A 24,098-nucleotide genomic window follows, 5' to 3' on the forward strand; every position below is an offset into this window, starting at 1 on the left:
CAGATCATCTGCATCCATCCACTTCTCACACTCACCAGTCCACAAACAGTGTCCAAGATGCCATCATGCTTTGCCCCAGACCCAAATGGCCCTGAAACAGTCTCCCTGCCTCTACGCAGCCAATCTGGGCTTCACCATGTAGCCACAGGGGTTGTTTTCAATTGCACACCTGGTCATAAATGCCATTGCTCTTAGGCTAAAAACCAAACTGCTTAACACAATCCAGGGCCCTGCAGGGCCTATCCGGGCTCAGGTCCAGACACCTCAGCTTTCGTATACTTCCTCCAGCAGCTAAGGCTCCCTCCTGTCCCAGGTCCTTTGCACGGGTACTTTGTTGTTCCTGGAATTCATTTCCTACCTGCCATCCCTCATCTTACACAACACATGCACACACACACATGTGCATGCACACACATGCACACACACGTATATCCATATGCATACACACACATACACATATGCAAATATGCACACACATATACAGACACATATACACATACACACAAGTATACACACATACACATGTATACACACATAGACGCACATACACACATGCACACACATATACACACATACACGTATACATACATAAACATACACACACGCATATACACACATACATGTACACACACACATACACACATACACACATATCCACATACATACATACACACAGTCACGTGTATACACACACACACACTGATATGGTTTGGCTGTGTCCTCACTCAAATCTCATCTCAAATTGTAATCCCCATAATCCCCACATGTGGAGGGAGGGACCTGGTGGGAGGTGATTGGGTCCTGGGGGTGGTTTCCCCCATGCTGTTCTCGTGATAGAGAGTGAGTTCTCACGAGATCTGATGGTATTTTAAGTGTTTGACAGGTCCTCCTTCACACTCTCTTTCTCTCCTGCCACCATGTAAGATGTGCCTTGCTTCCCCTTTGCCTTCCACCATGATTGTAAGTTTCCAGAGGCCTCCCTAGTCATGCAGAACTGTGAGCAAATTAAACCTCTTCCTTTTATAAAATACCCAGTCTCGGGTATTTCTTTATAGCAGTGTAAAAATGGATGAATACACACACATACCCACATGTATATGCACATATCACACATGCACACAGGTATACACACATACACACACATGCATGCACACAGGCACACAAACGTCCCCTGTGGGAACCACATTCCCAGTGGGCCACCATATTGCCATTTAAAAGGTAGGGTAGGCCGGTGTGGTGGCTCATGCCTGTAATCCTAGCACTTTGGGAGGCTGAAGTGGGGGGATCACCAGAGGTCGGGAGTTTGAGACCAGCCTGGCCACCATGGTGAAACCCCATCTCTATTAAAAACACAAAAAATTAGCCGGGTGTGGTGGTGGGTGCCTGTAGTCCCAGCTACTCAGGAGGCTGGGGCAGGAGAATCGCTTGAACCCAGGAGGTGGAGGCTGCAGTGAGCTGAGATTGCGCCACTGCCCTCCAGCCTGGGAGACTGAGGGAGACTCTGTCTCAATAAATAAATAAATAAATAAATAAATAAATAAATAAAAGGTGGGGCAGATCAGCATTGACTGGCCTAGAAATATCCGTGTCAAATTTGAAAGCAAAAAGCAGGATGTCAAACCTGGATATACAGTATGAGCCCTCTTGATCCAAAATAGGATTCAGTTAGCTCTGAGATGATGTGCAAGAGATTTCCAGAAGCATATCTCCCACTGAGTTATCAGCTGTGACTGGGTGGGGGAATTCCTTAAGAGGTTTATGTCCTTCTTTGTATTTTTCTGGACTTTTATGACAGTTAAGATTTTTTAAATATATATTAAAAATAAAGCTCTTTCCTCTGAAAGAAAAACACCAGGGGTCCCTTTCTCTCCTGCTGGGAGGTGGCCGCTCCTGCACCCCCTCTGGCTCACGTCCCACTCTCAGCCCGAGGCAGACAGGCAGCCGCTGCTGAGAAAAGAGGGGCATTCCCCATATGTAGTAACATTTCCAGTTGCCTCCTGGCTTGGCTGAGCCTGAGGAGGAAGGAGGACTAGGGTCGCACCCTTGGGTGTGTTCTTGGAAATCTGAGTGATTAAAACCATTACCCAGCTGTCAGAGGGTGTTTTAAAAGGATACATTTACAAATGTTAACCACTTGTATTTTACAATTTTCATGTTGTATTATTGCCAAAAAAAAGTGAAATAGAAGTCCTGTCAAGCATACTACAGTTCCAAGAGGGTTGCTGTGAGTCCCAACAGGCCCCTGGACGCTGCTGCTGGGCCAGGAGCTGCCAGACCTGCTGGCTGAGCTCACCTTTTGTGGTGAGAGCAATTAACTCCAGCACCATTAGACAGCCCAGAGGGGACACGCCCTTTGAGGAACAAAGAAACACAGCCAGCAGGAACCCTCCCAGCAGTTCCTGACTGGGTGAGCCACCCACCCCACCAGTGATAACCATTTTACAAAGGTCAGTAGTATTCGTGCTTGGGATGGGACCTGACCACAGAACTCAAGGAAACAACTTCAACAGGAGCTGAAGAATGCGTCCCCGCAGGCTGCTAGCAGTGTTGGAGTTCCTTTTGGGGTGCCTTCTCTGGCCACTGGGGGATGGTCCCATGTGATGGTAGGCAGAGGCTACCCAAGAGAGGTCTTGAGGATGAGACGGCAGGGGCGCCTCCTGAGTGTGAGGCGGGCCGTACTGGATTTGCAGCCTCATCTGCGCACTCACTGGATTCACAGCCTCACCTGCACACTCACTCTGCGCAGATGCTGGGCTTCTCCACCCACCTGGTGCTGTCTGGACCCACATGCCAGCTTCCTAGCCAGTTCCTGCTGCCTGGCGTCCTCCTACTGATGACCCATGCACATCCTAACACATCAGAACCTTTTGGTGGCCTTTCCTCTTCTGTGGGGTTAAGTCCAAATGTCCCACAAGCTGCCAGCTCCCCCCGGCAAAGGCCCTTGTGCTATCTGGCTCTGCGGTTCCTTTGCTAGCACGATCCCCACACATCTGGGTGCTCGGCACACCCTGGAGGACTGACCGCACTGACTGGCCACGGCAGTCAAGGGCTTGCCATGTGGCTTCTCCCTCCTGCTCAGCCCCATCTCCCACCCTCCCGCAGGCAAACACTCGCTGCCTGTGGCCCGGCATTCTCTTCCCCATCTTTAGGAATGTGAAAACAAGTTGCTGTTCAAAATCTAAGCTGTTGGAAATTTAACATATTTTGAGCCTTAAGAGAATATGATTATAGGACCTGAGTCATGTGACAGGCAGCTGTAACCTAAGCAGCTGTCACCTTTGTTTCTCTGATTACAGATTAGTCTTTTTCCTTACCTACATTGTTTTGTAAAACGTTGTAAATGACCAAAGGGCACCAGAGAAGACCCCTTTCCTCATAACCATTCACCTTCATTGTAGATTCACTTCCTTCTTTCCTCTCTCCCGGTTATCTAAGATGGAGTGTTAAATACGCCACCCAGCTCAGGTGATGTCAGCAGCCCTGTTAGCCCAGGCACGGGCCTATGGCTGAGCCTGGCCAATTAGGGCATTGCATTCCTTGGGTCAAACTAGCTGATTAAAGGGTGGTCATATTACCTACTCAAGGGCAGAGATGGGGCTTTTTCTGGGACTGCTGAGAGAGAGAAAGATGTGGGTCTCTTCCCCGCAGATTTAGAGCCTGAGAGAGGTGAGGTAAAAGTCTATCAATGGAGCCAGCACAGAAAAAGCACAGTCAAAAGATAGAAGGAAGGAAACTGGGTGCTGGAGACATAATTTAGCCCTTGATTAAGCCACACCTGAAGGAGACATTCAGTCATGAGAGCCAGCTGTAAGCCAAAAATTAATTCTAAGCCCTGCAATGGCTGATTGAGGAGGAATGAACCCCCCCTCTCTGCCAAGGGGATTTCAAAGAAACCTACAAACCTAGTTCAGGCCATGAAGGGAAGAGGGGGCGAGTCAGACATGTCTCATTCTACCCTCCTCCCTTCGGAATTCAGGCACAACTGATAACATTAACATTAAAACAGAGATCTTAAAACTGTAGCCATAAGATACCAAATTCCTGTATGACTCTAGTATAGCATCACATGACAGAGAGCAGGCCCTGAAAGAAATACAAATATTGTACCCCTAAATATATATTTTTTGGCATATTTTAAAATGGCTCTGCAGGCCAGGCATAGTGGCTCACACCTGTAATCCCAGCACTTTGGGAGGCAGAGGTGGGCAGATTACCTGAGGTTGGGAGTTTGAGAACAGCCTGGCCAACGTGGTGAAACCCCATCTCTACTAAAAATAAAAAAATTAGCCAGGCGTGGTGGTGGGTGCCTGTAGTCCCAGCTACTCAGGAGGCTGAGGCAGAAGAATCACTTGAGTCTGGGAAGTGGGGGTTGCAGTGAGCCAAGATTGTGCCACTGCACTCCAACCTGAGTGACAGAGTGAGACTCTGTCTCAAAGAAAAAAAAAAAAAGACTCTGCAGAGCTGTCTCTTGTGGGGGAAATTTACATTCCAGAATCCCTTTCCCTTTCTAGCTCTTTTTCTGATCCTGAAGAGATTAGCTGAGAGTCTAGCACCTTTTAAAAGTCCGAATAGGAAACATTTGCCATCTATTGCCTCTAAGGAAGGCCACCTATGAGACTTCATCTACGTAATAAGAACCATGGTCTCCACAACCCCTTATTTTTTTTTTTTTTTTTTTTGAGATGGAGTCTTGCTCTGTCGCCCAGGCCGGAGTGCTGTGGCACGATCTCGGCTCACTGCAAGCTCCACCTCCCAGGTTCACGCCATTCTCCTGCCTTAGCCTCCCAAGTAGCTGGGACTATAGGTGCCCACCACAATGCCTGGCTAATTTTTTGTATTTTTAGTAGAGATGGGGTTTCACCATGTTAGCCAGGATGGTCTCGGTCTCCTGACCTCATGATCTGCCCACCTCAGCCTCCCAAAGTGCTGGGATTACAGGCATGAGCCACCACGCCCAGTGCAAACAACCCCTTGTCTTAACCCAGATGCTCCTTTCTATTGATTACAGGTCTTAATAACTTAACTCTTTCAACCAAGTGCCAATCAGAAAATCTTTGAATCCACCTATGACCTGTAAGCCCCCACCTCGAGTTGTCCCACCTTTCCAGACCGAACCAATGTGTACCTTACATGTATTGATTGATGTCTTCTATCTTCCGGAAACATATAAACCAAGCTGTAACCCAACCACCGTGGGCCCGTGTTCTCAGGAGCTCTTTAGACTGCACCTCTTGGGTGGTCACTCACATTTGGCTCAGATGAAACCTCTTGATGTATTTTACAGTTTGACACTTTTCATGGACACAGTAAATTCCTTCTCTGCTTAAGTCACTTTAGGTCAAGTTCCTACCATTTGCAACAAACAGGTCAAAATGGATGCATCCCATCCCCAGTGCTACAGTCACACCAGTGTCCTGGTCCCCTCCCTGTACCGAGGGAGTGCTATTTTCCAGGCCCTGGGCAAAGGGCTTTATGCAGCCTCTCGTCTGCAGAGCAGCTTGGTCAAATGGAATCAATATCCTCATCTTAGAGGTGCAGAAACCACAGCTCAAGAGCACCCAGCCAGCTAGTGCAGGGCAGTGGGTGCGTGCTCAGTGTTCCTGGTAAGGACGTACTTCCTATCTGGGGACACAGCCTGTAGCACCTGCTCCCTGCCAGCCTTTGCTCAGGGGCTTCCCCGGGCCTGGAATGCCTTTCCAGACTTCCCCTTCTGAGGAGCAGCCTGGTGCCTTCTCCCCTCTCTGGCCCCAGCACTAGGGTACTGCTGAGTGCCCCTCAGCTGCACCCATGCCCCTCCAACTCCCTCCCCAGCAGGAGACTGAGCCACTGCCCCTCAGCTGCATCCACGCCCCTCCAACTCCCTCCCCAGCAGCAGACTGAGCCACCGCCCCTCAGCGGCATCCACGCCCCTCCAACTCCTTCCCCAGCTGCAGAGGGAGCCACTGCCTGGTGGGCAGTTTGGGCATAGCCTGGCAGCTGGCCCTGTGCACATGGGGTCATACACACTCTCCAGCCTTGGGGCTCAGATGGTGCTGGGTGTCCCCTTTCCTTCAGGAGCCTCAAGACCCTTCACTCTAGCAAGAGAGTCTACTGAAAGGCAGCAGCACATTCATGACAGGGCTCAGGAGATGAAACCCCCGGGCTGGATGCTGGGACACCGTAGGGCGGTTGTGAGGAGTAACAGAGGATTGCACGTGCCACTTTGGCACGTAGTAGTTACTCAACTAAGTCAGTTCTCTCAGTCAACAGATCGTATTCAAACACCTATTCCTTGCTGACACCTTGCCGGTGCTTAGAAACACATACTTGCTTTCTGCATTTGTCCGGTTATTTTAGATGGGTGTAAGTGTGGTCGGGTGGGAAGCTGGGGCAGTTTACTCAACCTCAGTAGGAGAGAACAGGCACCTCCTGCAGAGCTCATTATTATTATTATTATTATTTGAGATGGAGTCTCTCTGTCACCCAGGCTGGAGTGCAGTGGCGCCATCTCGGCTCACTGCAACCTCTGCCTCCCGGGTTCAAGTGATTCTCTCACCTTAGCATCCTGAGTAGCTGGGATTACAGGCACCTGCCACCACGCCCACCTAAGTTTTGTATTTTTAGTAGAGAGGGGTTTCACCATGTTGGCCAGGCTGGTCTCGAACTCCTGATCTCTGGTGAACTGCCTGCTTCAGCCTCCCAAAGTGCTGGGATTACAGGCGTGAGCCACTGTGCCCAGCCCAGAGCTCATTATTCTTACAAAGCCTTCCCTGCCTCATCCACAAACCAGGGTGGTCTTCTTTGCAAAGCCATCAAGGCTGGGGAACATCACCACATCGTTTGGCCTTTGAGGCAATGTGGGCCTGACTCTGCATCACGGCAAGGCTCTGCACTGTCCCCCACGGTGGCCCCTTGGGCAACGACCTTGACACCACGGAGGAGGCATCTGCGGGGACTCTCGCATGGGAAATGAGTCCCCTGCCCCGGCAGTCCCCCGCTTACCTCCAGTCTCGTCCGGTCCACGTCTTTGGGCAGTTTCACGCGAATTCGGTTTGTGACGATGAGGGAGTCATACGGATAGATCTGTTGGGGGAGGAAACCACAGGGTCACCTCACGAAGCAAGTGTATGCTGGCACCAAAGAACTGAGCAGAAGGTCACCGAGAATACATACTTGCGTCTGCACCTGACACACACATTTCATAGGTAAAGCACAACAGAAAGGACTTTTAACCTGGGCAGGTGTGGCGCGGCACGGAGGTCAGTGTGGGAGCGGCCCCGCTTACCTTGTATTCTGTAAGAGAGAGAGAGCGGAGACCACGAAATGGTTTAGAAAGTGCAAGATGTCGTCCAAGGTGAGTGCAATCCCTGCCCTGGGGTACCCCTGTCTCCCCCCTGCAGTCACCTGGGCCATGCATGGTCCCCGAGCAGCCTGCACTGAGGCCCTAATCTCAGAGCTGCAGGCAGAGGGGCCCTGAGGGCCTCCCCCGGGAAACCAGAGCAGGAGGCATGGTCAGGCTGCAGGCCAGGCTGGAAGCCGGAGGGCGGCACTGTGCTTTTCAGCTGTGATGCTGTCTCTCTGGTGGTCTGGGCCACCCTGAGAAAGATGCCAGCCTCAGTTTACCTGCCTGTACAGCGGGCATTTCAGGGGAAACTTTTAGAGGGTGTTGTGGAGACTGACATCTTGCTATGTTCTGAGCCTCTCCCATCTCTCACCGTCTTACCTTATTAACTCTACATTTTCTCTTTTTCAAACTACTGAGCTCTGCCCCCTAATGTCTTACTTCCAGACTGAAAGCGTCTTATCACGAAAATGAAATAGTGTGGATCGTAGGGCCTCCACGCACACAGAACCCACAGAAAGCAGTATCTACAGAACCTGGTCCTCAAGCCAGTCTCGGAAGGGAGACCCCGTGTCGGGAGCCGGTCCCTGAGTTTCACCACTTGCCCCGTGTGGTTCTGGACCTGCTGGCTCTGAGGCCCGGGGACTGAAGGCCACTTAGAGGGAGCAGGCTGTGGTGCACTGATGCTCTCCGTCCCCATGCAACCCAGTCCAGCAGAGCAAGGCTCCCCCGCCACTCGCGGGCACAGAGGCTGACAGGAGGTGAGCCTGTGGGAGGTGTCAGGCACCTGCCACACGACCAGGTGGCCGCTCTGGTAACACAAACCTCCTAGTAGCCCTGCTGAACCCGGAGAGTTCACGCGGCGTGCCGGCAGCCACACGGGGAGCAAGGCGCAGGCAGGGTTTGGCCCAGCGCCGTCCCGCTCAGACCCTGGAAGCCTTGTGCCTGTGACTCTGCTTTCCCAAGTGACACAGAGTGCCATACAATGCAGGACAGGGCCGCCGTGGCCATGGATGGGACAGAGGGAGCATCGCGGGTAAAGCTAGCTTGGAGTGGAACTGACTTTTGGCCAGGAGAGGCAGGGAAACCAGCACGCCCTCCCCCGAGGTGTCCCCGCCCGGCACTCCCGGAGCCTTCTGCAGGCTGCGGATGGGGTGGTTTCAGAACAAGTCTTGTGGAATGTGTTAGCGACCCCTGCCCCAGCCAGAGACCCACAGGGTCCCCGCTCTGTGTACCTCGCATGCCCCAGCTGGCATCCGGGTCTGCTCCACAGGGGGCCAGATTGGCATTCTGGAAGAGAAAGAGAGGTTGGGCGGCAAGAGACAGGCGGCACGAGGGTGTGTGGATGGGCAGGGACCAGGAGATGTGGCCCCTTGGAGGCCGAGGTCCTCGTGCTGCCTGGGGAGTAGGGTGTCCTTAGCACAGCAGTGGGGCGTGACAGAAGGACAGCAACAGTGGCTTGGGAAGGGGAGAGTCCAGGATGCTGTGCCCGTGGGACTGGCCAGCTTTCTTGCTCATAGGATGCCCACTGCCTGGGCGGTCTCCACAGACCCTTCCTGTGTGGACAGCTCCAACCCCATTTGAAAGCTGCTCCCAGGTGCCTGAGTTCCCCACTCTGCAGCTGGCACAGACGACCACTGGGGGCTCAGCACCATTTCTTTGCGCACGCTGCGCTAGGCACAGCGCTCTGCGGTTCCCCGTTGGTGATCTGTCCCCTCCACATGGTGGGTTCCTGAGCACAGCGCCTAGAACCTGCTGTCCCAGGTGCTCAGGGAGCCCCAGGGTCCACCCTGGGCCCTCTGTTCCCTGCAAGATGGCCAAGGGGGAAGACTGGCTGCCGTCTTCTGGCACTGTGCACGGTTGTGGAACTCCTAGGGTATTCTCAGAGCTACGCGGACGCACGTGGCTGTGCGTGCGAGTCAAAGTCCATCCACCCCAAATGCTCCAAAATGAGGGGGCTCCTACCTCCCTGGAAACCGTGGTACTCACGGCAGCTCTGCGTGTGACTGTTTCAAAGGTTAAAGGAGCCCCGTGTCTGTAAGGCCCCTGGCATGTCACCTGGCATGTTGTAAGTACCCATACAGGGTGGCTGTGTCTCTGACAATGACTAAGGGTGACACTCTGAGGGGGATGGGCCCGAGAGCTCCTGCACCTGTCTCAGGTGCCCGTGGCATTCATCAGCAAACTCTGCCATTTTAGCGCATTGAGACCATTAGTGTCTGGAACGCTTTCCCTTCTGTCCACCTGGAAGCATCATCGACACGTCCTGCAAACCTCTATGGAGGGTTCCCCAACCTGTAAAGCATGCATTGAACCCCCACAGGGGTCGGGCAGTCCTGCCCCTGCCCACTTCCTGCCCCTTGCTGGGGCCCGGGGTTCGCACTATGAGCCCTGAGCCATGCTCTGTTGCGGTTGTGCCTTGGCTGCCCGCGGTGGACGGAGCCTGTTGAAGAAAATGTCTTATTCACGCTTCGTTCCCCAGCACCTGGAACGGGGTCTCAAACGGGGTCAGGGCTCTCGGCCAGTGCTGCTGAAACTGGGTACAGGGATCACATTTCAGCAGGGAGAGTTCTGCAGCCAAAGGAGAGACGGTATGCTCAGCCCAGCGGGTCTGTCACAGGGCAAAGTGTTTTCAACGCGAGCTTTGCAGTAGGAAATCAGTGAGGAGCTGGTTACAGCCTAGAGAGCACGAGAGCAGGAAGACCTCAGAGGGCACCGAGTCCAAAGCCCTTTATCTGAAACAGGAAAACCGAGGCCCCGAGGGAAGCTGGACCTTCTTCCTGATGCAGAGCTGGAGTCAGAGGGCTAGAGTCAGGCTCACGAGTGGGGTAAGCACCCAGGCAGAGGACTGGAACTGGTCTCTATTTACATTTTTGCTATTTTGTTTATCGTGAAATTTTTTACATTAATTTGGATTTCTAAAACTATTGCATTAAACTTATCCTGACTGCATTTTCTTCTTTAGTGCCTTGCTCCCTCACTCTAGTTCTGGGCCTGGACCCTGAGCCAGGGTCCTCTTGCCTCCACCACTTCACAAAATAATTCTTGCCTTCAGGGGTATTCACAAAGAATTTCTTTTTTTTCTTTGAGACAGAGTCTTGCTCTGTCAGCCAAGCTGGAGTGCAATGGCGTGATCTCGGCTCAATGCAAACTCCACCTCCCGGGTTCAAGTGATTCTCCTGCCTCAGCCTCCTGAGCAGCTGGGATTACAGGCGCCTACCACCACGGCGAGATAATTTTTGTATTTTTAGTAGAGATGGGTTTCACATGTTGGCTAAGCTGGTCTCGAACTCCTGACCTCAGGTGATCCACCCGCGTTGGCCTCCCAAAGTGCTGGGATTATAGGCATAAGCCACTGCGCCCGGTCATGCAAATAATTTTTAATTTTTTATTTTAAGAGACAGAGTCTGGCTCTGTCACCCAGACTGGAGTGCAGTGGCACGATCTCAGCTCATTGCAACCTCTGCTTCCTGGGCAATCCTCCCACCTCAGCCTTCTGGGTAGGTGGGACTACAGGCGCATGCCATCACACTTGGCTAATTTTTGTATTTTTTGGTAGAGATGGAGTCTCCCTTGGTTGCCCTGGCTGGTCTTAAACTCCTGGTTTCAAGCTATCTGCCCACCTCAGCCTCCCAAAGCACTGGGATTACAGGTATGAGCCACTGCGCCTGGCCATGCCTGGCTAATTAAAAAAAAAAAAGTAGATATGGGGTCTTGCTGTGTTGCCCAGGCTGGTCTCAAACTCTTGGCTTCAAGCAATCCTCTCACCTCAGCCTCCCAAAGCACTGGGATTACAGGTGTGAGCCACCATGTCCACTCAAGAACAATGTTTTGATACATTTTCTTAGTCTCAGACTACCATCCCAGGTGCACCTGTTCTGGTCAGGGAACCCCCAGTATAAAGCAAGGCAACCAGCCATGGCCTTGTCTTTGCCACCTGGCATGTCTGATGTGAAAGAGAAATGCTGCCCCCTAGTGCCCATCGCTCTGCATAACGGGCTTCCAAAACTCGCAGGGCACCACCTTCACCTTGGACGGTTGGAAACTCACTCTCCAGCAGCAAAACCAGCTTCCTTTGGTATTCCAGGATCTGAGATAAGGTGGAGACTCTAGGACGGAGATGAGGCATCTACCAGGTGGAGAAGGGGGAATACTTTTTAGGTCTAGAGCAGGGAAAGTGGGGTCTACTTCCGGTCTTGTAAGTGCGAAGTGGGGATGGGGTGTGCAAGGCCTCTAAGGTGCAAGGGGTCTTCAGTTACTGCCTTTATGTGTGGACCAGCAGGAGAGCTAAGTGGCCAGAGGGCACCACAAAGACAGCACTGCCTGGCATATTCCTGGCTGACTCCCCTACGCCGCTCAGTGCAGGCACCAGGGATTTTAAAAGCAACAAATGATTTAGCTGTCCCATTTGTTTACTACCTATTTTTATTTTATTTTTGAGCCAGAGTCTCGCTCTGTCACCCAGGCTGGAGTGCAGTGGTGTGATCTCGGCTCACTGCAACCTCCGTCCCTGGGTTCAAGCAATTCTCCTGCCTCAGCCTCCTGAGTAGCTGGGATTACAGGCATGCGTCACCATGCCTGGCTAATTTTTGTAATTTTAGTAGAGACAGGGTTTCACCACGTTGGCCAGGCTGGTCTCGAACTCCTGACCTCAAGTGATCTGCCCGCCTTGGCCTCCCAAAGTGCTGGGATTACAGGCGTGAACCACCACGCCCGGCCTGTTTAGCACTTCTTACGTGCCTGTGGCTCTATAGGTACATTCTCTAACCTTTGCTGCAACTCCAGGAGGTGGGCATGATTATCACTTTACAGATGAGCCTTAGAGAGATTAAATAACTTGCCTGAGATCATATGACAAATACATGGGACTGTAAATATTTGAGCCCATGTGTTTTATTTTCCAAAAACTGTACTGAAATTGCTAATAGGAATTGAGATTATGGCCATTTGCCACTGGTCACCCTTCTTTCCTTGCTAAAGCTCACATTGGAATGTGTTACTTTACTCAGCAGCTAGCGACATGGAAGCAAGATAGAGCAGGAATTGCTTTTTAAATAATTACTCATGTGGGAACCATGCTATGGAGCTTATAAAAGATTTCACAACTCTAATGTTATTTGTCCTCAAAAAGACCTCAAGAGGTAAGGATAATTTTTTAAAGACTAGAAAAGAGAGACTCAGAAAATTTAAGTAACTTGCCCAAAAACAGAGCTGGGATTTGAACTCAGGACTGTCTGATGCTAACACATGTGTTCTTTTCAGCATTACAGTTTGGAAATACCAAACTTTTAAAATTTGTTAATGCTTGTCTTGTAGTCACATGCATAAACATTTTAATAAATATTTTCCAAACATGTGAAAATCTCATTCAAGAGATATATTTTTCATATACCTATTTGATTGTTTGCTATTTGTACTATTTAATTTTTCTGTGTACATTTAATTTTTTGTTCACTAGACACATTAGTCTTTTTTTTTTTTTTTTTTTTTTTGAGACAGAGTTTTGCTCTGTTGCCCCAGGCTGGAGTGCAGTGGAACAACTTCAGCAGCTCACTGCAACCTCTGCCTCCCAGGTTCAAGCATTCTTTATTCTTGTGCTCAAGTAGCTGGGATATTAGGCATGTGCTACCATGACTGGCTAATTTTTCTATTTTTAGTAGAGATGGGGTTTCACCATGTTGGCCAGGATGGTCTCAAACTCCTGGCCTCAAGTGATCCACCCACCTCGGCCTCGCAGAGTGCTGGGATTATAGGCCTGAACCACTTTGCCTGGCCCCATTTGTTTTATTTCAAAAGAGTCATATTCAAATCACCCACCATACTTGTATTTAATCAAGGTGTCTGGCATTGCCATGTTGCTTGGTGCATTTAAGTTGATGAATGCTATAACTGCTTTATTCCATTATGCCTCCATAATGAATTAGTGTTCTCCTTTTATACTATTAATTTTATTAATTCCTTTTAATCTTAACTTTCACCCTATTTGATATTACTATTGTCACTCTTGCTTGCCTTTTGTGATTTTAGTATCTTTCTTATCCTTTTGCTTATCCTTTAAAAGTAGTTTTTAAGTGTGCATCTTATGATAACACATCTGATTTTAAAAATCTAATCTGACAGTCTCTGTCTTTTAATAGGACAGCTCAGTCTCTTCACATTTGGCATCATGCTTTTTCAGAATGGGACTTCTTCCAGGGAGCTACCACAAGGACCTGCTGCCACCAGTCGTCACTCTCTGAATAACAGACACATGGTATGCATCAGAGTCATTACTGCCTTACCCACAGGGAGAGAAGCAGCAGGCCTCTGTTGCTCCATTCACTTCAAGGGTAGGTTATGAGCATCTACCATGCATCAGGCACTGTGGCAGGCTTGGCTATTAGGACGTTTTAATGACCTTTAGGACATATTGTGCTTTAGGTCACTGGGCCCTTGTAACAAATCCTTCTGGAAGAACACCCAGGAAAGCCTTTGCCTCCCATGATGAACTAATTTCCCCTCTTCCATCAGACAGTGAGGCCTACATCACTGACATGATTGCCTCTATGCCTTGGCCACCAGGAAGCTCAGAGATAAGCTTTGACAGCTTTTCTTATGTAATATATATATTTTTTGAGATGAAGTCTCGCTCTGTCACCCAGGCTGGAGTGCAGCGGCATAATAGCTCACTGCAACCTCTGCCTCCGAGGTTCAAGCAATTCTCCTGCCTCAGCCTCCCGAGTGGCTGGGACTATAGGATGCCCGCCACCATACCTTGCTAATTTTTGTATTTTTAGTAGAGACAGGGAGGCAGGCTGGTCTTGAACTCCTGACCTCAAGTGATCTGCCTGCCTCGGCCTCCCAAAGTGCTGAGATTACAGGTATGAGCAACCACGCCCCACCTCTCATGTAATATTTGTTTGTTTGTTTGTTTGTTTTGATGTAATTTTCTCCATAGTTTCCTCCTCTCCTCCTTTGTGATTTGGTGTTCATGGGATTTTGGTCTCACTGCACCTATGCTTGAGGCCACCCAGAACCCTTTCTGGAAGTAAAGGCAAATCAAGAAACGGCCTAGGAAATGACTTAGGAGCACTGTAGGCCATCAGCAACAGGGCAGGGGCACGCACTCCCAGGGCATCTCCAGGGGAAGGTCATGAGTCCAGGTGCTGAGCAGGGCCGCCCTGAAAAAGGCTGGTCATGTGAAAGATCAAGTATCTGGCCTTCTCACTGAGAAAAAGGCATAACAGTACATAAAAGTCGTAGAAAGAGTGAAACAATAGGAAAGAACATTAGCAGGGAAAAGAGAATCCCAAAGCAAAGTCATTAATAATATTCACCAATCTCCCCCAGAAGCAATGTGAAAAGCTAAGAATCTCCACGTGATGATGAGTTCTGCGCATATCAGCTCTCCAAGCACATGCAGAGAGCACGCCAGCTAACGCTCTCCTTCCCACCCCTTAGTCTGCAGGAGAAACATATTCACAGAAAGTTTAGTTCTTAATTCTGTAAAGTTTGAGGTTCTGCTCTCAATAGTTCTAGGAGAGGGAGTGAGGACCATCCCTGCCAGAAAGTCTGAATAGGCTGTTCTCAAAAGAGTGTGGCTTCTGGAGACCATGACCTTCTCTGCAGATGCTGAGAGGCATCAATTTGCATCATTTTAGCATGTGAGCCTAGAGAAGAACCTTCCCAGAGGATGCACAGCCCAGGCGTCAGTGACGCAAGACTACAAATGCAGAGTGTGCTGCTCTCTCGCTTTCCTTCTATATATTGAGGAAAGTCTCCAGGACCTCACTCGGATGGTGGAACACCTTGGCTTGGTCGGACTGTGAACACTGTGCTCACCAGCCCCAGGGCTGTCAGAGAACAGCTGTTCCAGGTGAGAAGGGAACATTCTAGACAGTTTTCCCACTGTCCCCAGGACCCCTAACATTGAGCTCAGGGATTTGCACGTCTTTTGGTGTCGTAGGAGTCCTGTGGACATTGGTCCAGCTCTCTTATCTCCCCTGCTTTCCATGTGGAAGATGAAAAATGGAGAATTCCCTTGGAGAAAATTCAAAGAAGCGTGCCACATGCATGGTCCCCAGTTAGGCCCATTCCAGAATGGGAAGAGCAGTTCGTGGGGTGAGGGGTGTGGTTTGCTAGATTCAAACCATGCAGAGGTGCCTGGGCCCTGGGGGAGATCCGGGGAGGCTGGGCCTTGGACAAAAACACAGCAGCAGGTCTGACAGAGCCTGAAGGAGACGGAGAGAACAAATGCCAGCCCAAGAGGACACCCACGGCTTCTGGAGATGGTGTCCTGTGGCCTTGCCCCTGGGGAGAGTACCTGCTTAGGGATGCCATCCCAGGGTTACACACAGCCACGGCTGCTCCAGCGCAACAAAGAGGGGGCCAGTTTTTTAGTGGCCTCGGTTGAGAGGTGAATTGCCTCTATTTATGAACAAATTTCCAGACTGGGACGAGGCTGCCTTGCGCAATGGGGAGACCCCTGGGCTGTGTGTGTGTGTCTGTGTGTTGGGGGGTCTGGGACCAGCAAGCCTGCCCCACCCTAAGGATCCTCACTGGGGACCCCTGTGACGCTGTGGGCAGAGGAACAAACATAAGCCGCTCTTCCTAAGGCGTTCACTGTCCTGGGGCACAGGGCCTGGCCCCTCTGCAAGGCAATCAGCCCCCAGATTGTCTGGGCTCATATTCAGATGTCCCAAGCATCAGAAAACTCAGGGTAGGAGGTGGCACCAGTCTTCAGCTAGGGGCAGCCAAAGAGCCTGACTTCAAGTTAATCCAATCTCCGTGCAGCCTCAAGTAACAGCCTTGGACGCTAAGGATTATTTGGTGTCATCACGGTAACAGTAATAGCAGGGAAGGCCAGGGCATCCCCGAGAAGGAGGTGGGCACTTGGCTCACACTGGCTCACCAAATGCAACAGCCCTTGGTTATCAGGCTCTGTGCCATAGGAGGACGAAGACGGTTAGGAGGGGCATCTTGGAGCTGCGCCTGATCACTCTGGGTGGCCCTTGTCTCCCCTGCTCCCACACACTGAGCTCTCCCTGGGGTCGGGGGCAGGGAGGCAGAGTGGGGAGGGTGTTGCCCAGGTCTGGTTCGGTCCTGCTAGGGAAAAAGCAGTGGTGGCAGTGGCAGCCCCTGGGAAGGGCATCAGGCAGAGGCAGGTGGGCCGCGGGGTCCCCGGGGCCTCTCCTCCTGCTGTGTGGTCAAGAAGCTGTGGGAAACGTGCTCAGCCTCACAGCAATCGTTAGTACCCTGTGGCCAGGGAGGGGTCAGTACCTACCCGCTGGTCCAAGCCATTCTTTCCATGTCCTGGGAGAGGGTCAGATTTGGAATAGGGGAATCCTGAAACAGACACAGCACAGCTTTGTCACGCGCGCAGACTCGGTGCAGCAATGGGGGTGCAGCCCTGGGGGGGCTTCCCACCGGGGTGGGCAAGGCTGGGCAAGCAACACAGGGGAGGCCCCCTGAGGACCATGACCTGCCTCAGTGGTGACCTTCTGTTCCCAGGGCGCTGACCGAGGAGGAAGCCACAGAGGGGTAATGTCCTGAGCCTGCCCGTGACACCGGAAATGCCACAGAACCTCAGCCCAGCTGGCCCCTGTGTTCAGGGACAGGCTCGGGCCTGGGCACCACCTGGCACCTGGGCCAAGCCCCTCACTTTACAGACAGGGGAGCTGAGCAGAGTCAGGAAGGGGCGCAGTCTCTGGAACCCTGGAGGAACAGCAGAGCTGTGCCATCCTGTGCCAGAGGTGGCAAATGGAGGCCCACCACCAAGCACATGGGGCCTGGAGGCAATCTTATTTTAATAAACTTCTTGGCTGGGCATGTTGGCTCATGCCTGTAATCTTAGAGCTTTGGGAGGCCAAGGTGGGAAAATCACTTGAGGCCAGGAGTTCAAGACCATCCTGGGCAACATAGCAAGACCACCCCTACAAAAAGCAATTAGCCAGCTGTGGTGGTGCACGCCTGTGGTCCCAGCTATTTGGGAGGCTGAGGTGGGAGGATCCCTTGAGCCCAGGAGTTCGAGGCTGCAGTGAGCTATGCTCACACCACTGCACTGCAGCCTGGGAGACAGAGTGAGATCCTGTCTCTAAAAAAATAAATAAAAAAAATCCTGAGTTGCTTGCAATTGGGGGGCTTCATATTAAAATCCAAATTTCTAGCTTCTCGTGAAATAATAGAGGGCTGGTCTGAGACAATGAACTCTGGATTCCCTGTGGGGCAAGGCTCGCTGGGGCTGTCAGGAGGGGGCAGCCTTTCCCAGCCCCCACCGAGCTCCCTCCATCACTCATGTCCCTGGCTGGCCCTGGGTGGGCCTGGGAGCTTGCTGGGAGTTTGAGACCTCCGAAGTAACCTCTTCAATACCACGTGATGGGAGAGCAGGGAGGAAGTGAACGCCTGCCTGGCTCAGAGGTGGTGTGGTTGCATTCTGGAAAGGAAGGGGCAGAGCCTGGACCCTGGAGGGGCAGGACCCTCCACACCCAGGGAAGCATTCTTTTTTTTTTTTTTTTTTTTTTTTTTTTTTATTATACTCTAAGTTTTAGGGTACATGTGCACATTGTGCAGGTTAGTTACATATGTATACATGTGCCATGCTGGTGCGCTGCACCCACTAATGTGTCATCTAGCATTAGGTATATCTCCCAATGCTATCCCTCCCCCCTCCCCCGACCCCACCACAGTCCCCAGAGTGTGATATTCCCCTTCCTGTGTCCATGTGATCTCATTGTTCAATTCCCACCTATGAGTGAGAATATGCGGTGTTTGGTTTTTTGTTCTTGCGATAGTTTACTGAGAATGATGGTTTCCAATTTCATCCATGTCCCTACAAAGGATATGAACTCATCATTTTTTATGGCTGCATAGTATTCCATGGTGTATATGTGCCACATTTTCTTAATCCAGTCTATCATTGTTGGACATTTGGGTTGGTTCCAAGTCTTTGCTATTGTGAATAGTGCCGCAATAAACATACGTGTGCATGTGTCTTTATAGCAGCATGATTTATACTCATTTGGGTATATACCCAGTAATGGGATGGCTGGGTCAAATGGTATTTCTAGTTCTAGATCCCTGAGGAATCGCCACACTGACTTCCACAATGGTTGAACTAGTTTACAGTCCCACCAACAGTGTAAAAGTGTTCCTATTTCTCCGCATCCTCTCCAGCACCTGTTGTTTCCTGACTTCATGTCCAAAACACCAAAAGCAATGGCAACAAAAGACAAAATTGACAAATGGGATCTAATTAAACTAAAGAGCTTCTGCACAGCAAAAGAAACTACCATCAGAGTGAACAGGCAACCTACAACATGGGAGAAAATTTTTGCAACCTACTCATCTGACAAAGGGCTAATATCCAGAATCTACAATGAACTCAAACAAATTTACAAGAAAAAAACAAACAACCCCATCAAAAAGTGGGCGAAGGACATGAACAGACACTTCTCAAAAGAAGACATTTATGCAGCCAAAAAACACATGAAGAAATGCTCATCATCACTGGCCATCAGAGAAATGCAAATCAAAACCACTATGAGATATCATCTCACACCAGTTAGAATGGCAATCATTAAAAAGTCAGGGAAGCATTCTTAAAAGACCTGTCCTGGGTCCCTAAACTGTCTGTCTTTCCACTAGCCTATGGGGCCTTAAAGAGCATGGCTCACACCTGCCTCATCTGGGGGTGTCACCCCAGTACTGGGCCCTGGTGGCGGAGATCGGCCAGGTACAGGGCCAGATGCCCACATTCACTCATGGGAGCTTCCAAGCTGCCCACGAGGCCTCCGAGGGGAAGGTGGCTCACAAGGCCACATGTCTGTAGCAAGGACCATGCCTCCAGGGGCAAGGCAGGTTCTGTGCACAGAACTGCCCACCCGCTCTCTCCGGGGACCTCACTTCTGAGCAAAAGATGCTTCTCCGGGGGCCTTTCATTTGGGGGTTCCTCATGGACTCAATGAGGACAGAGAAGAAATTCCATGAAGGTCACATGGGGACACAGAGAAGCCTGTGGGAGGAGCCTCAGCTGGGGACTTGTTTGCAACACGGTAGCCAGTGGAAAGGTTCCACATGGGGGTCAGGAAGGTGTTTTAAACATCAAGATCAAGGTCCTCAAACTTCTCCTAGCGGAGGAACTCCCTCGACGCATGAGCTTTTATGTGAACCCCGATATGCAAAACAGGCAAACGAGGAGCTGGGAAGACAGACATGTGAGAGGGGCGGGGGTCGGGGGCCAGACCTTCGGGCTATTCCTCCCCCTCCCAGCCCCTCCTCGGCACCCCCAAGTAAATGGCCTAGCCAGCTCTTCTCATGTCACAGAAGGAGAGTCAAGGCCCCGAGACGTGCAGGAACCTGCCTGAGGTCACCCAGCCAGGTAGCGGCAGCCCCAGGATGCCAGACAAGGCCTCCTGCCTTGCAGTCCTGGGGTCCTCCAGGAGACACCTTCCTCCTCCTTCATGCCCAGAGCCAGGCATGCTCTGGGAGCCCGAGGGCCCCTCCAGCTGCAGCGGGAGCTCCTTATCAGCAAAGGTGCTAGAGGGGTGGTTCTCAAACTGGCATCCCCAGCTAGCAGCCCCAACCTTGCCAGGGAACTCGTCAGAAATGCAAATTAGTGGGCCCTACCCTAGACCTCCTGTGTCAGAATTCTGGGGCTGGGGTCCAGGGATCTGTGTTTTTACAAGGCTTCTGGACCATTCCGATGCACACTGGCCTACTGCCTCGAGAACAGAGAACACCCTTGGTGGTGTCCTGCACCCCTCTTAAGCCCGAAGGCCTCTACCTGCCTGCCCCTGGAGTCACCTGGACAGCGTGCCAGGTTCCCAGTGCCCAGGCTGCCGCCGACCGGTCTCAACTTTTAACCACTTCACATGCAGGTGGAAACCTTGCTTCCGCGAAGGCCATTTTATCCTCCCCACTTTGACTATGATAGTCTCAGGGACGTCTTCTGTTTCCCCTGAGCACCCGTATCAGATGGTGCTAGAAATTCTGCTTCAACCATCCAATGTGATATAAGAATATGATTCTTTCCAAGAAGAGGGCTATTATGTTTTGTCCCCGGTTTTACCTATTCCGACGTTCTTCTTTCCTTTCTGAAGTTCCAAGCCTTCTTCTATTATCATTTCCTTTCTGTTTGGAGAAGATTCCTTACGGGTAGCTCTGCAGGATATCTCACTGAACACAGGATTCATGCGGACAGTTCTGCTCTTTCAGCACGTGAAAGACGTCAGGACACTTCCTGCTGGCCTCTGTGGCTTCTGATGAGAAATCTGCTATCGCTTGAATTGGTGTTTCCCCTCTGTTTTTTCTCTCTGGTTGCTTTCAACATTTTTTTCTTTGTCCTTAATTTTCAGAAATTTAATTATGATGTGTCTTGGTGCAGATTTTTGGGGTTTATCCTCTTTCTTTGGGACTCACTTGGTTTCTGGAACTTGTAGGTTTATGTCTTTCTTTTGCCAAAATTGTTAGGTTTTCAGACATTATTTTTTACATATTTATTTATTTTTTTGAGACGGAGTCTTGCTCTGTTGCCCAGGCTGGAGCACAGTGGCACGATCTTGGCTCACTGCAACCTCCGTCTCCCAGGTTCAAGCGATTCTCCTGCCTCAGCCTCCCAAGTAACTGAGACTATGGGTGCACGCCATCATGTCCAGCTAACTTTTGTGTTTTTAGTAGAGACAGGGTTTCACCATGTTGGCCAGGATGGTCTTGATCTCTTGATCTCGTGATCCGCCCACCTCGGCCTCCTAAAGTGCTGGGATTACAGGCATGAGCCACTGCGCCCAGCCGCTATTATTTCTTTGAATAGTTTTTCAAACCCATTTTCTTCCTCCTCTCTTCCTAGGAATTGAATGAAACAAATATTGTCCCACAGGTCCCTGAGGCTCTGTTAATTTTTCCCCCTATTTTCTCTTTTGTTCATGTAGGATAATTTCTGCTCTGTCTTCAAGTTCATGGATTCTCTCCTGTCAAATTTTTAATTTTGGTTATTTTTTCAGTTCTATAATTTCCATTTTCATATAGCTTATATTTCTTTGGTGAGGCTTCCTTTTCAGTTTCAAAAGTATCTGCAATTGCGTGTTCTAGACTCCAGGCCCGGGTCTCCTGCTGCTGCTGGGTGGGAGATGTGGGGTTGCTGCGTATTTCCCCGAGTCCTGAGACCCCCTCATCAGCTACTGTTTCTAAACTATTTGTAATTGCTTGTTGAAGCATTTTTTAGTGATAAATGCCTTAAAATCCTTGTCAGACAATTCCACCATCTGATTCTTCTCAGTGTTAGTATCTGCTGTCTTTTTTTTCTTTTTTTCTTTTTTTTTTGAGATGGAGTTTCACTCTTGTTGCCCAGGCTGGAGTGCAATGGCACCATCTCGGCTCACCACAACCTCCGCCTCCCGGGTTCAAGTGACTCTCCTGCCTCACCCTCCCTAGTAGCTGGGATTACAGGAATGTGCCACCATGCCCGGCTGATTTTGTATTTTTAGTAGAGACGGGGTTTCTCCATGTTGATCGGGCTCGTCTTCAACTCCTGATCTCAGGTGATCTGATCCGTCCTCCTCGGCCTCCCAAAGTGCTGGGATTACAGGTGTGAGCCACTGCGCCGGGCCTTCTGCTGTCTTTTTTCATTCAAATCATTGATCTTCGGTGTTCTTGGTGTGACGGGTAATTTTTCTGCAGTATCCTGGGCATTTTGGATATTATGTTAGAAGACTGATCTTGTTAAGTGTTAAATCCTCTATTTGAGCAGGCTGTCACCCTGTTTAGGTTTCGCGTGTACAGCCTGTTCTTTTGGAGGCTACGGTTCCAATGACAATTTGCTTTTCAGAATGCTTGCTGAAGTGCTATTCTGGTCTGCTAAATTCACCTGGAGCTGCCGGTCTGCCCACCTGGGTCCCTGCCGGTGCTGCCTGTGGGGATAAAATGCCCTTCTTGGGGTGTCCTGTGTCGCTGGGTGGGGGTGGGAGATGCCTGCCACGGGTGGAGACCATGCCCCTGGGTTCACTCCCAGGACTGCGGGGTGCCTGCTGGCCACCTGCCCATCTGCTAGTGTGGCTGCAGGAGGAAAACACCTGCCTCGTCACCTTTTGCCACCACATGGGAGGCTGGGAGTCTGCAGGTCTGGGCCACCTCCTGCCACTGCATGGGAGGCTGGGAGTCTGCTGGCCTGGGCCACCTCCTGCTGCTGGGTGGGGGTGGGAGTGGGCAGGCAGGGCTGCTGTCCCTTGAGGTCCCGAGGCTGCCTCGCCAGGCCACTTTGCTGTTCCCACCTTTAGAGTTGTCCTGTGACCAACCGTCTGCCGTATCATTTGCAGGTCCGTTTAGCTGTATGTAGCAGAGAAGAGCAGAGAGAGACGAGGCGACACTATCTCACCCCCTGGACTGCTGTCTGGACTCCTGAAGTTGGTCTCTGTTGGGGTGGACCAGCAATCTGTAGATGTTAAAGGTCCCAGGGATGCTGTGCACAACCAGCGCTGAGAATCACTGGTTTATTTATTTTATTTTTTGAGACGGAGTTTTGTTCTTGTTCCCCGGGCTGGAGTACAATGGCGTGATCTTGGCTCACTGCAACCTCCTGGGTTCAAGCGATTCTCCTGCCTCAGCCTCCTGAGTAGCTGGGATTACAGGCATGTACCACTGCGCCCAGCTAATTTTGTATTTTTAGTAGAGACAAGGTTTCTCCATGTTGGTCAGGCTATCTCGAACTCCCGACCTCAGGTGATCTGCCTGCCTCGGCCTCCAAAAATGCTGAGATTACAGGCGTGAGCCACTGCGCCCGGCCAAGAATCACTGGTTTAAAAAGTCCCTTTACATATTCAGAGATTTCACTTGACTCTCACCAGCCTACACACTAAACATGAACCCATTTTACAGATGAGGAAGCTGAGACCTAATGATATCAAGCGATCTGTTCAAGGTCAAACAGTTACTAACTAGAGAGGCTGAGATGAGGAGGGCTCCCTAGCTTCAGGAACCAGTAACCCTATCTGCTCCCAAGCCAGTGTGCCCTGGTGTGGGTTTGCAGGCATGTGGGGTCTAATGCATGTCAGATGGAAGCAGACAGCCTTCAAGAGGCGGGGTGTGTGTAGTACAGAGAGAGACCCACAGGGAGAAGGCAGGTAGGGGGCCAGGAGCATGGCGGCAACTGGGTAGTCCTGATGCCAGTTACATGAGGCTCTGCAGGCACCAGAGGCCTACCCACTCCATGCCCAGGCTCAGCCAAACCAGGCTCCTGGCCGCCTCCCCTCCATGAAGCCTGCCATAGCCACCTTGCCCTCAGCACCCCGCCAGGCCTGCTCTTGGGGCCCTGAGCCTCTTCTCCACAGGTCTGTCCTCTTCCAGGCTGGCTCATCAGAGGTCAAAGTCACCGCTGGACATTCAAGGCCGGGCACCTTGTGGGCAGAGGACTGTGGCTCACACAGCATCCGGGTCTGCTTTGTGGACACCTGACCCATGAACCACTCACTTGGGCAGTTCCCATCCGCTCCTGGGTGCACGGGCAGGAGGCTTGGAGGCTGTGGCACTGCACGGGTTCAGGTCCCCTCTCTGAGTCTTGGTGTCTCCATCTGAGGAAGGGGGGCACCCTTCATCCCTGAGCAGTGGTGAATGAGAGGCCCCTTGGCTGGTCTGAGCTGCAGACTTCAGAAGCAAGTGAGATGGGCCCAAGATGTCCACAGAGGGCTTGCCATGGCCTGGCTTGTAGACTCGAGATGCTGAGCCTCAACAACCCTCAGAGTCAGGCCACAGGATCCCCGTGTGCTCACGTGCAAGCTCCTCAACCCCCACATGCTCCCTGGCAGGACTG

At 51.1% G+C, this 24,098-nt stretch overlaps 1 protein-coding gene across 45 annotated transcripts in view, besides 5 other annotated features; it reads right to left on the reverse strand.

Moving 5' to 3' along the window:
* The window catches only part of ABLIM2 (actin binding LIM protein family member 2), a 193,487-nt gene that overhangs the window by 10,956 nt on the left and 158,433 nt on the right, over positions 1–24,098 (reverse strand). For 28 of the 45 annotated variants that reach the window (NM_001130086.2, NM_001130084.2, XM_047416308.1 and 25 more), the window contains 4 exons: positions 16,584–16,645; positions 8,557–8,611; positions 7,265–7,272; positions 6,982–7,062 (listed from right to left, as the gene is read on the reverse strand). In NM_001130086.2, coding sequence (NP_001123558.1) covers positions 6,982–7,062; positions 7,265–7,272; positions 8,557–8,611; positions 16,584–16,645 — 206 coding nt within the window. Of the gene's footprint in view, positions 1–6,981; positions 7,063–7,212; positions 7,273–8,556; positions 8,612–16,583; positions 16,646–24,098 lie in introns of those variants that run through there. The other 17 variants (NM_032432.5, NM_001130085.2, NM_001130087.2 and 14 more) reach the window with 4 other exon arrangements.
* Positions 2,920–3,214: a silencer, noted in NCBI's record as "tiled region #1176; K562 Repressive non-DNase unmatched - State 22:ReprW". NCBI's record gives its function as "represses a minimal TATA promoter and a strong SV40 promoter by Sharpr-MPRA in K562 cells {active_cell/tissue: K562}" and the evidence as "EXISTENCE:reporter gene assay evidence [ECO:0000049][PMID:27701403]".
* Positions 8,331–9,285: an enhancer, noted in NCBI's record as "H3K4me1 hESC enhancer chr4:7986340-7987294 (GRCh37/hg19 assembly coordinates)". NCBI's record gives its function as "activates a minimal SCP1, AML or CMV promoter by ChIP-STARR-seq in primed H9 embryonic stem cells {active_cell/tissue: H9 hESC(primed)}" and the evidence as "EXISTENCE:reporter gene assay evidence [ECO:0000049][PMID:30033119]".
* Positions 9,286–10,238: an enhancer, noted in NCBI's record as "H3K4me1 hESC enhancer chr4:7987295-7988247 (GRCh37/hg19 assembly coordinates)". NCBI's record gives its function as "activates a minimal SCP1, AML or CMV promoter by ChIP-STARR-seq in primed H9 embryonic stem cells {active_cell/tissue: H9 hESC(primed)}" and the evidence as "EXISTENCE:reporter gene assay evidence [ECO:0000049][PMID:30033119]".
* Positions 16,798–17,338: an enhancer, noted in NCBI's record as "H3K4me1 hESC enhancer chr4:7994807-7995347 (GRCh37/hg19 assembly coordinates)". NCBI's record gives its function as "activates a minimal SCP1, AML or CMV promoter by ChIP-STARR-seq in primed H9 embryonic stem cells {active_cell/tissue: H9 hESC(primed)}" and the evidence as "EXISTENCE:reporter gene assay evidence [ECO:0000049][PMID:30033119]".
* Positions 22,322–22,822: an enhancer, noted in NCBI's record as "H3K4me1 hESC enhancer chr4:8000331-8000831 (GRCh37/hg19 assembly coordinates)". NCBI's record gives its function as "activates a minimal SCP1, AML or CMV promoter by ChIP-STARR-seq in naive H9 embryonic stem cells {active_cell/tissue: H9 hESC(naive)}" and the evidence as "EXISTENCE:reporter gene assay evidence [ECO:0000049][PMID:30033119]".

Source organism: Homo sapiens, chromosome 4, assembly GCF_000001405.40.
Source record: "Homo sapiens chromosome 4, GRCh38.p14 Primary Assembly".
Lineage (NCBI taxonomy): Eukaryota > Metazoa > Chordata > Mammalia > Primates > Hominidae > Homo > Homo sapiens.